The sequence below is a fragment of the Homo sapiens genome, chromosome 20, assembly GCF_000001405.40.
Source record: "Homo sapiens chromosome 20, GRCh38.p14 Primary Assembly".
In the NCBI taxonomy this organism is placed as follows: Eukaryota; Metazoa; Chordata; class Mammalia; order Primates; family Hominidae; genus Homo; species Homo sapiens.
The window spans coordinates 39,026,042-39,039,721 of record NC_000020.11 but is presented as its reverse complement, the minus strand read 5'-3'; the positions used below and the strand labels follow the sequence as shown (position 1 = coordinate 39,039,721).

The 13,680-nt window shown below is 44.6% G+C and overlaps 1 protein-coding gene across 7 annotated transcripts in view; it reads right to left on the bottom strand.

The window, feature by feature from the left end:
• DHX35 (DEAH-box helicase 35) overlaps positions 1–13,680 on the bottom strand; it is a 77,378-nt gene continuing 63,698 nt past the window's right edge. For 6 of the 7 annotated variants that reach the window (NR_033905.2, NM_021931.4, XM_011528972.3 and 3 more), the window contains 4 exons: positions 11,223–11,304; positions 8,947–9,018; positions 5,405–5,516; positions 1–1,223 (listed from right to left, as the gene is read on the bottom strand). Coding sequence is in view for 5 of the 7 variants with exons in the window: in NM_021931.4 (NP_068750.2) it covers positions 1,179–1,223; positions 5,405–5,516; positions 8,947–9,018; positions 11,223–11,304 (311 nt within the window). In the remaining 2 variants the exon portion in view is untranslated. Of the gene's footprint in view, positions 1,224–5,404; positions 5,517–8,946; positions 9,019–11,222; positions 11,305–13,680 lie in introns of those variants that run through there. The other variant, XR_007067474.1, reaches the window with a different exon arrangement.

The window sequence follows — 13,680 nt, the reverse complement described above, 5'->3', positions numbered from 1 at the left end:
TGGGAGGGAAGACATTTACTTTAGGTATAAAGGTTTACTATTATTAACAAGTTATCACTATTATTTACATGTTTATAAAATGGAAATAAAAATGACATACACGTTTGGTGCCAAAAGTGGCACATCCAAACTAATATCAGTATAAAAATAAATTTTCAAGCTATGTGTTTTTAAAATAAAGGTCATTGAAACAGTAAGGGGGAAAAAATCTGCATCTGGCATGTGTTGAAATGCAATCATCATCACAGCAAAGCAGCCCTGGGGCAACAAAACCAGTGCCTGCTGGAAGAACTGTCCCCACGCGCTCTTGCAAGAACCCAAGCAAACAAACAAAAAAACAAATACACCAGTGATGTTCCTGAGCTACAGAAGTTTAGGGCATCCAAACTGTTGTGAATTCCTGCTAAAGAGGAGGCCCTGTGGGATCTGAGCTGATGAACTCTCCTGAGTGCTCAGCTAGCGTGGCACCAGGACCTGGCACTACACTCTGAGAGGACGCTAAGCCTACCTGTGAAACACAAATCCTCTGCTAACACAAAACAGCGCACGAGTCCTCTCTGTCAATCACCAATCCCTTGCAAGTCTCCTGGCTGCAGATAAACAGGGACAAGGGCTGAGGACAGACAGAAGCCACTGGGTTTGGGAGACCCTGTGCCCATCAGACATGCCCTTTGGTGGTTTCGGCAGAGATCCCCAATGTTTCGTTCATTCGTAGAGACATGCTTGTTCACACCTGGCAGCAGACCTCATTGGTTAACACAGCTGTGGCCCCAGCAGGGAAAGCAAAGCCAGCCCAGCAAACCCTCTGTCCACCCCACATGGTGTTTTGGCCTTCAGTGGCTAACTTTCCTCCTTGTTTCCCATAGAGCTGGGCCAGGACTGCATGCCTGCTGGAAGTGGCATGCTGGGTTAGTGAGCGTGCTGAGTGAGCCAACTCCCACTCTGCCCGCTGCAGCACAGAAGGATGCCTGCCCATGCACAAAGTCCTCCAGGATCCCAGCAAGGATGCAAATGCTGTGGGCAGCGGGAAGAAAGGACTAATGAACAGGCCGCAGCCCACTTCAGAGCAACCAAACATTCCACAGGAGCTGGTGCCAGCTCACCCCACCTGGGACCAGGGGCAGCAGCATGGAGGAGAGGACGCCAGCAGTCCCTGCAGCTGTAGCTGTGGGCTCCTCTCACGGGTCCTGGACCTTGGCCCTTTTGGCTTTCAGAGACAGGTGCTGCAACAGAAGAGAAGACACTACAGTTGGGGTTGATTAGACAAAGAAACCAGACTGCAACATAATCCCCATATGAATGACCACATCAAATCTTCCATCTGGTCCACACCTTCCCAGTAAATGCTGAGCTGTTCATGAAACAGCCTGGAAGGAAAAAGCCCAAGTGGCCAATGAAGAAGCCGACCTGAATTCAGCCGCCAGCAACCCGAGGCCCAAGCCACAGCGGCTGAAGCTGGTTATACAGGGCTCTGCGGAAGCTGTCAAGGAAAGGTTTTCTTTTTGAGACACGACTCTCCCTCTGCCCCAGCCTAGAGGACAGCACCGCAGCCAGACAACTGTGCTCAGGAGACTGGGCTCAGTCTGGAAGTGATCTCAAATCTCCAAGAAGTTCCTGACAATAGTCAAGAAAAATTATCCTCTCTTTAGGACCAAGGAAGTCAATTTACCAAGCGTCTCAACACACCAGGTACCCATGCTCAAGGATGGAGATAAAGATATGGCCTCTGCCCACATGGAGGGTACAAGCTTGCTGGGAAAACAGAAAGGACACCTCCTAGTGACACTTTTTTTTTTCCCCAGAAATGTCACTTTCTACCATTATGAATAACACGAAGCACAATATTCTAATCATAGGCATCAGATAATAGGATTGGAAAATGAAGTATTTTTTACATTCTAAAGCAAAGCCAAAAGTGGCAGAAATCCTTAAATATGCCTTTGAGGCAGAGTGTGTAAATACAAGCTTTTAATGAAAGACCTCCCTCCACTCATCAACTGGGATATACCCGACAGCCCATTACTAATCATCAATAACCAAGAGATCCCTAAGCCGTGCCAACTAACACACAGTGGGAGCCTCACATGAGAATGCCCACCCTGACTGCTCCGGAGCTGGTGTGCCCACTACTTAGCACAGCCACATGGCCCCACAACATCAAGCCGCATCGCCCCCAGAGAGAACTGCAGGCCCTGAAAAAATGGAGGGCGTGAACGAAGACACAGCGCACCACCAGGTATGACGTGAGAGACAACAGAGCGAACAGGACCCGGGTATAAATGAGCTACAAGAACTCAGACTTTCCATCTGCTTACACCTGAGGGAGGACTACTACAGGCTCTTGCAAAGGCCTCGTTAAAAGGGTTTTCCCTAATAATGAAGATATCTCTGAGAATAAGGAAAAATAATTTAAAAGCCAGAAGGCAAATCTCTGAATAGGTCACCCCGTTCTTCCCCTGTCTAGCTGTAGGTCTTGCTGAATTTCTCTGAATTCTCTCTCTACACGTCACCTGATATAACCCCTACAGCTAATGTTAGATATCCACGGCCTTAGCTTGGGGATGGGAGATGACGCCATTGTGCCTGTGGGGCCATTTTTGGTGCTTTTTTCTGGGAAGAATGTTGAATATAAACAAAGCTGACTCTGAACCATTTCAGGCCTCCACACAGGGTGAGAGCAACATTCCGAAAAACAGTGGTGATGGAAAGTCTCCAAAGGTGCCAGGAACAGAGCCGTGAATGATCTGTGGGCTGTGGAAGGTTGTGAGGTGCTGCACTGTGTTCAGTAAAGGAACATCTACCATACATGGGCAACCCCTGTAGATCTGGAGGTTCTTTGAGAAATCAATCTGCTTTGGACAAGTTAATAGTAGAAGTGCCCTTGGACTATACAGTTAAGAAACAACACAAGTTTCTCTGTGGTTTGGGGACCATCGTTATACAATGAGGTTGTTGTATTAGGTGATTTCTTTTTTTTTTTTTTTTTTTTTTTTTTGGGGGGACAGTCTTGCTCTGTCGCCTAGGCTGGAGTGCAGTGGTGTGATCTCGGCTCACTGCAGCCTCCACCTCCTAGGTTCAAGTGATTCTCCTGCCTCAGCCTCCCAAGTAGCTGGGATTACAGGCACATGCCACCATGCCCGGCTAATTTTTGTATTTTTAGTAGAGACGGGGTTTCACCATGTTGGCCAGGCTGGTCTCGAACTCCTGTCCTCATGTGTTCCACCCACCTCAGCCTCCCAAAGTGCTGGGATTACAGGCGTGAGCCACCGTGCTCGGCCGCACTAGGTGATTTCTAAAGGTCTGTCCCAGCCTCTCTAAAAATACTCCGATGACAGTGGAGGTGATGAGCTTAAAAATAAAAAAGCCATTTGGAGAGAAGAGACAAATGAAGAAATTTGGGCTTGTTATTTTCTTCAAATTTCTGAAGCTATTTGCTCTTTAACTTTGTGGGTTTGACCTAAAGAAACTGGAATTTTGAGCTGAGAAGGGAAAATGACTCAGCTTCTGGGCTAATTCTGTTTCCAAGAGTCTAAATGAATCCAAGACAATTTCAGGCTTATCCTTCTCTGGCTGTCTGCATCTTCTTACTTTAACAGGCATTTTGACCACTGCACCATTCCTCTTTCAACCTCTAGTTTACCTTTCTGATCCCTTCTCTTGACTCCTGAAGTCTGCTGCTTTCCACCTGAGAGGTTTTGAAGGAAAAGCCTTTCTTTCACCAGGTTTATTCTTATCAACCTAATTCAGCAAAGACAACACACACTGCATTTTTATCAGTCCCTGCAGGCTGATCTGCTTTCCAGCTGAAATATCTGAATTGGGATGTGTGAAGAACTATAAAGGTGTGAAATGGTTTTTGTTTGATTACATAAAAATTAAATATTATAAAATTTTGAGAGGGCAATGTCCCTTGACTTTGCTGGAGCAGGAGAGATGAGGAGATCCTTCCATTTACAGGGTCACAAATTCAAATGTCTCCAAGAGTGCAGCAGGCAAGTAAGCAAGTGACATGGGACTACGGCACCTGGCGATGTCACTAACAGCAGGCAGCCACCCCTAAGCCCCTGTGATGCCACCACGTAGGAACGCAAGCCTAGTGTTGCCAGACTAAACATGTCTTTCAAGAGAAACCAGAAATTCATGTTTAATATGAAATCTCCCAATTTTTCAATGTGGCAATCAATTCAAATATCGCTTTGGAAACATTGTGTAGTCCAATTCTGGCCCTAATGGAGAAAAAGGTTTCAGACTTTCTCTTCTGCTGTAAACAACAGTAAACTTGGGCAAAATATGTAAAGCAAGTATTTTCAGGCCACAAACAGCACAGGGCTGTAACCCTTTTAAAAAAGGAGCTGGGCGTGGTGGCTCACACCTGTAATCCCAACACTTTGGGAGACCAAGGCGGGCGGATCACCAGAGGTCAGGAGTTCAAGACCAGCCTGGCCAATATGGCAAAACCCTGTCTCTACTAAAAATACAAAAATTAGCCGGGCATGGTGGCGCACGCCTGTAATCCCAGCTATTAGAGAGGCTGAGGCAGGAGTATCACTTGAACCTGGGAAGCAGAGGTTGCAGTGAGCTGAGATTGTGCCACTGCATTCCAGCCAGGATGACAGGGCAAGACTCTGTCCCAAAAATAAATAAATAAAAATAAAAAACGAACTGGTGGCATGGTGGCTCACACCTGTAATCCCAGCAATTTGGGAGACCAAGGCAGGAGCACCACTTGAGCCCAGTTATTCGAGACTAGCCTGGGCAACATAGTGAAACCCCATCCCTAAAAAAATTTTTTTTAATTAGCTCAGGCCAGGCCTGCTGGCTCATACCTGTAATCCCAGCACTTTGGGAGGCTGAGGTGGGTGGATCACTTGAGGCCAGGAGTTTGTAACCAGCCTGGCCAACATGGTGAAACCGTTGTCTCTATTAAAAATACAAAAAAAAAAAAAAGAAAAAAGAAAAAGAAAAAAATGAGCCAGACGTGGTGGCACACACCTGTAATCCCAGCTACATGGGGGCTAAGGCAGGAGAATTGCTTGAATCCGGGAAACGGAGCTTGCAGTGAGCCATGATCGTGCCACTGCACTCCAGCCTGGGCGGCAGAGTGAGACTGTCTCAAAAAAAAAAAAAAAAATAGTTTGGAAGAGCAAAAGGAGAAAGAAAGCGAGAAAGCGATACCTTTTTTTTCTTATGAGATTAGGGGGATTTATTTTTAATTGCACTTCACTATGAATTAAACGCTAGAGTGCTTTCCCAGAATGTTTTGGGGATATGGTAATGGCCTTTCCACCCTATGCACCCCTAGGGGGAACACACATAGGGCATTAAATTGGAGAAAAAAAGTACATTTAAAAACATGGAGAGGCTGTGAACAGGTGGCTGGGGCACAGACTCAGTTCATTCCTACCGTTCCTTGTTGATAAAAGTGTGGAGCCAGCTCCAACAGCCAGGCCGATTCAATGGCAGTCACATCTCTCATGTAGTACTTGGAGGTCTGTATAACTTCGTTATAGATGACCCTGAAATGAGAAAGAAACATGAGCTAATTTCCCCCTCTTGTGATGACAGTCAGGAACCACAGGTAGACATGCTGTTTCCTTTAACCTTTAACAGGTTCTACTCTATGTGCCAGACACTGTGCTAAACACATGCATTTATGTTGCTCACCACAGCCTCAAGACCTAAGTGCTGGGTAATGGTGTGTCCATTTTTCAGATGAGACTCTAAATCCTCAATGACTTCTGGAACATCTCAGTTATCCGCGAAGGACCTTTCTGGATCCTTCATCTGCATTTACAGAACTCTGAACTGAGCCTAATGACTTTATTAGAAAATGCAGAAATGGAGGCAAAGACTTGCCTGATTCTGAAAGAGGCTGGGAACTGACTGTAAAGAGACACAAAGGAATTTTCTAAAATGATAACAATATTGTATAATTTATGTGGGTCCAGGTTACATGGGTATACACATTTGTCAAAACTCATCTTGCACTGTAAATAAATTATACCTTTATTTAAGGGAAAAAATGTTTCTAAGGCTCAGGTAATAGACAACCGAAGAGCCAAGAGCATAACATCCAGTCCCCTGATTTTAGGTGTGCATATGAGTAGATATCAGTTTCTGAAACATCCAAAGTGTTAATTCAGGGCTTCCCATGTTATAAACATACCAGCCATACTGTGGTTCCCCACCCCTCAAAAACCAGTAAGTGAATCTCAGCTGATCAAAGGAAAAAGAAGGGCCCCCCCTGCAAAGAGGCCGTGACTGGGGGGCACTTTCTTTGCCACCTGAATGGTATGGCATGGCTTCAGGCTGGCTCTATTTCCCCAACCTTTCTTTGCCCTTCAGAGCTCCTTAGGAATGAAGCAAGAAAAAGAAAAGCCTTTCTCCTTTAAGCAACTCCCAAATTTAACCACCCAAAAGTCAGCAAAAAAAGGATCTAAAATTGAGGTTTTGCATCTCTCTTGATTTAAAAAAAAAAATTTTTTAAAGGCAGGGTCTCGCTCTGTCACCCAGGCTAGAGTGCAGTGGTGCAATCATGGCTCACTGAAGCCTGAATCTCCTGGGCTCAAGCGATCCTCCTGTCTCAGTCTCCTGAGTAGCTAGTACTACAGCCACGTGCCACCATGCCTGGCTCATTTTTTTTTTGAGAGTTGAGGTCTGGCTATGGCACCCAGGCTGGTATTGAACTCCTGACCTCAAGCAATCCTCTGGCCTCAGCCTCTCAAAAGTGCTGAGATGACAGGCGTGGGCACTCTTCAAATTATCCTGCACACGAGTGTGCGTATCCTGACCACATTAGTGTGGTCACTGGGTAACATTTCTAAACCCAGAACCGACCAAGGTGCTTTCAACCTAAGCAACTTCTAGGTCTGCAGTGGCTACAGGATAAATCCGATTCCTTGGTCTAGGGAAACAGAACTCAAACTTTACTGCCCAAAAGAAACATCTGGAGGGCTTGTTAAAATGGAGTCCTAGGCCCTAGTCCAGTTTCTGATTGAATGGGACTTGGCATGGCCTGAGAAGCTGCATTTCGTACAAGTTTCCAGGTGATACTGATGCTGGGCTGGAGACCACATTTTGAAAGCTGCAATTCTAGGGTACAAAGTGTTTGACCACAGACTTTCTTGCCTTCAAATCTACCGCTATCTTCTCTCCCTCTCTTCACACACACCCCACCCTTTTTCCCAGGGCTTCTCCATCTTCCAATTGGAGAAGGACAAGTTGTTGTCGTCTTTAAAATTTCCAATCTGGGCCAGGCACAGTGGCTCACGCCTGTAATCCCAGCACTTTGGGAGGCTGAGGTGGGCAGATCACCTGAGGTCAGGAGTTTGAGACCAGCCTGGCCAACACGGCAAAACCCCGTCTCTACTAAAAATACAAAAATTAGCTGGGCATGGTTGCATGCACCTGTAATCCCAGCTACTCAGGAGGCTGAGGCAGGAGAATCACTTGAACCCCGAAGGTGGAGATTGAAGTGAGCCAAGATCACACCACTGGGCAACAGATTGAGACACTGTCTCAAAAACACAGAGTGAGACACTGTCTCAAAAAAACAAAATCCAATCCATGGTTGATCAGTACTTTTAATCAGTACTTTTTATTGGTAAAATACAATATAAATGAATTCTAGAAAAATGAAATTGTAAACAAGAAAAATATAAGCCCCCAATTTTTATTATTAAATTGGACAAACATAAACTTAACCATTGAAATGTTATAAAGATGTCTAAAGGCCTACTCTAGACTTCTGTGCTTACCTCTTTCTTCCTAGGCAGTGTTACAGAGCAGCACCATTGCATGGGCCACCCATACCAATGATTCCCCACTTCCCAAACGCATGAGGTTCCTTTATGTTCCATGGCTCTGCCCCTGCTACTTCTCTACCTAGAATACCCTCCGGGTCCTTTCTGACTGAACACTCTTGTTTCCAGGTTCAGAATGAATGTTATCTCCTCCATGAAGCCTGCCCTGACTCTCACTGGCACATGATGTGCTGAGCCCAGCACTTCATCCATGCTGCTAGTAAAGCCCTTCCCCTAAGGTAGTTGACTCTGTGTCTGTCCCTATGTCAAAACTGTGGGCTGGGGCCGGGTACAGTGGCTCATGCCTGTAATCCCAGAGCTTTGGGAGGCCGAGGTGGGTGGATCACCTGAGGTCAGGAGTTGGAGACCAGCCTGGCCAACACAGTGAAACCCCATCTCCACTAAAAATACAAAAATTAGCCAGGCGTGATTGCACACATCTATAGTCTCAGCTACTCAGGTGGCTGAGGCAGGAGAATCACGTGGACCTGGGAGGCAGAGGTTGCAGTGAGCCAAGATAGCGCCGTCACTGCACTCCAGCCTGGGCGACAGAGCGAAACTCTGTCTCAAAAAAAAAAAAAAAAAAGAACCGTGAGCTGGGATCCCAATTCATCTCTGCATAGCTGTGCCTCATGCAGGGCTAAGCATCCAGTCAGTGGTTGAAAATGAACGTTTGCTGAGTGGATGAGTGAGTAGACAAATATCACTGTTTGCTTAAGAAGCTCTTTGCCAGAGCAGAAATTCTCTTTTTTTTTTTTGACATGGAATCTCACTCTGTCACCCAGGCTAGAGTGCAGTGGTGTGATCTCAGCTCACTGCAACCTCTGCCTCCCAGGTTCAAGCAATTCTCCTGCCTCAGCCTCCCGAGTAGCTCAGATTACAGACGTGCCCATCACGCCTGGCTAATTTTTGTATTTTTAGTAGAGATGAGGTTTCACCATGTTGGCCAGGCTGGTCTTGAACTCCTGACCTCAGGTGACCTGCCTACATTGGCCTCCCAAAGTGCTGGGATTACAGGCGTGAGCCACCACGCCCGGCCCAGAGCAGCAATTCTAGAGGCGATGTCAAGAAACATGTACAGGAGAAAAACAAGAACATGGCCCTGTTCAAAGCAGGCACAGGCTAAGCAGCAGGATGAGCTTACCAGCGAGGCGGCTTCTCTGCATAGAGGACTGACGCAGGGTGTATGTGCAGCTCATGGTCATCACGGATGGTCCTTGGAACATAGAAGAATTTTGTCTGAAGCACATTTTAAATACTTATAGCAAGACTTTCCCACAGATATTTTTAATATTACCAAAAAAGCATGCAGACTGAACTCGTCACAAGCAAAACAATTATCTCCATCTTCTCTTGCAACCTTTCTTGATCCCTCTCCTGGCTGCCACCCCAGAAGTCAAGAATAAATCACGTGGAAAAAGCGAAGAGGAGAAAAGCAACACGCGGACACTTAGAAAAAACATTTAGGAATAAAATGCTCTGCCTATGTTTATGTGTATCTTCTGCAGGTGCTCTTTCAAAACAATTTCCTTTGGAATGGAAATAATACATGTGATTTCTTCTATAATCTAAAAAGCAAAGTTAAATACTAAAGATAATGACTATAGGGGGACGTAACGATAATGAAAAAAGAAAGCTCACAGCCAGGCATGGTGGCTCATGCCTGTAATCCCAGCACTTTGGGAGGCCAAGGCGAGCAGATCACTTGAGGTCGGGAGTTCAAGACCAGCCTGGCCAACATGGAGAAACCCTGTCTCTACTAAAAATACAAAATTAGTTGGGTGTGGTGTCACATGCCTGTAATCCCAGCTACTCCGGAGGCTGAGGCAGGAGAATCGCTTGAAACTGGGAGGCAAAGGTTGCGATGAGCCAAGATCACCCCATTGCACTCTAGCATGGGCAACAAGAGCGAAACTCCATCTCAAAAAAAAAAAAAAAAGCTCAATACTGGACTATTAATTTCTCTGAAATAGTACTTCCAATTCCAACTCAGTAGAATGATCTGTTTCTTGGGGGAAGTGCTTCAAGTGCTGTGACGGAATGCCTCGTCGGCATTGTAATAAAGCCAGCGTCCTGGGGTCCTGGGCTGTCCTACCAGGGGGTGGTGAGCTGATCAACACTAAATGTTGTCTCAAAGGAATGATTAGCCTGGAACCTCTTAGGTAGCCCACATTGTTGCTAAGGACACTGATAAAAGAATTTTCCAAACGCTAGTCAAAATTGCTAACTCTCCAGGAGAGTAGGAGCAATCAAGATGACAAGCTGGCAGCACTCCTTAGGGAAGATCTCGGGCCACCGTGGGGGTCGCCTCCACATGGACAAGTTGCCTCAAATACAGACAACTCAGGGTGGGGAGGTGAGCTCATACAATGGGCAAATGAATCACAATACTGACAGGCTACAACATGCCTGGAGTAACAAAGAGAACATACTAGAGATCATTGTAAAGTGCTATCCTGCAGTTCCAACAGTCGGCTACTAGGATACTAGATGGAGCAGATCTGGCTGTCAAAATTAAAAAAGGCTCAGTGCAACTCTGGACTCATTAACAGGAGCCCAGGACAAGGGATATCTTGGCTGACCTCAAGATAACAGGGCAGTAATATTTTCTCTGGGAAAAAAAATTAATGACAAAATAATACATAGAAGAGCTGGGGAGAAATTCTTTGGAGTGTTCTCTTATTAAAGAACAGAAAATGATGATAGCTACACTTTTAGGAGGCTACACTGAGGTTATGAAACTAAAATGAGCCAAAGACAGAAAAGACAGAATAAAAGTAACAATTCAAAGCACTGGAATGATTAGTTTGGAGAATCATGATACTGACAGGCTACAGTATGCCTAAGCTATGCTTAGTTTTCACTGCATTTGAATATAGTAAAGACCATTAGGAAGGCATCAATGAGTGATTTCCTATGCCTAGAAAATGGAACTGGAAGAATCAGGTTATGTAGCAGGAGGCACATCCAGCACATGAGAAACACCTGGCTACCTCCAAAGACACCAGACGTGGCCACACTATACCAGGGTGGGAGGGGACTTCAGTCGTGCAGATCTCTAAAGACATAATAAACTAGCCAATTGTAAAATAACTTCTCTGAGAAACATTATTTTTAATAGTTTCTTCAGGTCATATTATTCTGTCATTAGAATTGAAATATTACCAGCCTCAAGATGTATAATTGTCATCCTTCTAAAACATACAACATATAGATGAGCTGAATATGTGAGAATCATTTTTAGAAAGTCAAGATATTTTGCTTAAAGCTATGTCGCTAACCTCAACTCAGTTTTGGAAGGAGACATGGTAGAAATTACAAATAATTATGCAATTACTATCTCTGCACAGCTTTCTGTGGGGTTTGGGTCATTTGTAAGATTGTTCCTTTAACAAATGACTTCACCAAGTATCATGTTACCTATAAGCTCCAGTAGAATGAAACCTCGCTGCATTGGCGAAGAAGCCGGAGACAATGCACCTCAGAACCAGATCCGGGTCACCTACATAGGCAGCCAACAGAGAGGCGGGTGAAACCCTTGCCTGCCCTAGGCTCCGTGTGCTCTAATGCACAGGATCCACTCCCAGCACCACCCCAGGCTGCTTCAAGACACCTGGAAACCCTCTCCTGAAATGGCTCCAGCCCTACCCTTCCCAATGCTGGATGCCTGCCCCAGCACCATCTAAGGAGGTCCCACTCCCCACAACTGCTGCTGACAACAATGCTGGTCTGCTCCTTGAACCTGGGACCCCTCCAACCTCCCCTAAGCCACAGATGACTGGACCATGGCTGGGCACCAGAACCTAAGAGTGCTGCTCTGCAGGCTGGTCAGTGACCTCAGAACTCCTTTGTAAAAGAGTGTCATATGGCAACAATGTTCTTTCTATAAAACACAAACTGGAGATAGTATACAACGTTACTTCTGTGGTTATGAGCTAGTGTTTGAAAATTGAAGTAATTCTTCAAATTTTTCAAATGTTCCATTTTAACTGGTGTTTCTATTGCTACAGCTAACATCTTCCATGAATAAAGCTTCCCCACTATTAGATGATGTCCATAGGATACATTCCAAATTGTTGTGCAAAAGGCTAATGTTATTTTTATGGTTAATGACATATCACATCTCATCAATTTTAAGACTCGCTCTTTTTCTAACTTTAATTCACTGAAATTAGGACAGCATTTTACAATGATAACTGGCAGCATTTTTTTTCTTTGGTGACACATAAAATAACGATGTTTCTTACACATGATGGTATCTTAGATCCAATGGAATAAAGCATGTTGGTAAGTAAGTTCCATAAAGGTGGTACTATTTCCAAAGCCATCAACAATATATAAAAATGGCAGTTTCACTGCATTCTTACTAGCAATGTTTTGGCAAAAAGTGTTACCTTCTGTTACCTTCTTTTATATTACATTTATTTGATTACTATCGGCATATTTCTTCTTTTGTGAATTTTTTGTTCTAATCCTTAGCCCATTTATCAACCTGAAAACTGTTTTTTCCTAAATATATTAAATAAAATCATTCTATAATAAAGTTTTTAATCTTTATCATTTATCTCATGACTGCTGAAAGTATCTTTCACTAATTGCTTTCTATTTTTTAACCCTTAGATGTTTTAAATTTGCATGTAATTTATTTAGTCTCCATGATTTTCTGTATTTTTCCTAAGCACTGAGCTGATAAAATCTCAAATCTACATGTCTAAATATGATCTAATCCGATATCCAGTCTCTTCTCTCCTATTGTCCATAAGAAATTTCCATGTAAAATATGCACTCTAAACAGGGGTGATATCACTTCCAAAGGGGTGGAAACTGGTTCTTGGAGGCAGGGGGAGGGGAGCATCTTAGACACTACAATGGCCGGTAGCCCTCCAAAGCTCAATCCTACCCTACAAAATCTTATTCCTTAGTATTTAATTTCTCAGGCTGGGTAGAATTTAAATTTAACTTTTCTCCTGGGCAGGGGTCTGATAATGAAACACAGGTGAAGAACACCAATTGCTGAAGTAAGGCTGTCATCTACCTGCTGGGTGACAGGCGTTTGACGAGCTGCTCTCCAACTAGGTGCTCCTTGTAAGCATCCTGTTTCTATCAATGACTCCAACATGGCTCAATGGCCCAGGTTTCAACTCTTCCCTCTCTCGTGAGTGTATTCACCCATCAAATATTCTCTGAGCGTCTCATATACTCCTCACTCCAAGCACTTGTCTCCAGTCCTCCTTCCCTAGAGTGCTCTTTGCCACCATTTTCTAATTCAACCAGACCCCAAAGCTTGACCGGACTCCCACCACACCTCAAGGAAGCTGAAAGACTTCCCAAGCTAGCCCTCTCTGGATTCCTTCTTCCCGGCATTCCTTCCACATCTGCCAGCACGTCTTCTATGATTACTAAAGTATCTACTACTTTAACTTCGAAGAGGACTGATAATCTTAGTACTTTGTCTATCCATATGAATCTCTCCCTTCATTACACTGTTCCCTTAGAGTAAAAGCCAAGACTCCGTCATTGTTTAATCACTTGCTCTTAGTATAAAGACAAAAGAAGACTTAAATGGAACCGCCTGGGCTCAGGTTCTGACTCCATCATACCCTCACTGTGTAACTTCAGCAAGTTACATTTTACCTCTTAGCCACGCTTTTCTCACCTATAAGATGGGGAAAAGAGCACACGTTTCACAGCGTTGTTGTGAGCATTAAATTAATAAACACATGGAACACTCAGTGCACTGTCTAGCCACTTATAAGCACTCAGGAAATGTTACCAAGTACTAATGGTGCTGAGGATGTGGCTGAGTACCTGGCACACTAGGCTTTCAGGCTGACTGCTGAGGCGGGTGTGTCACTTCCTTAAAAGCGTAGACTTCTGA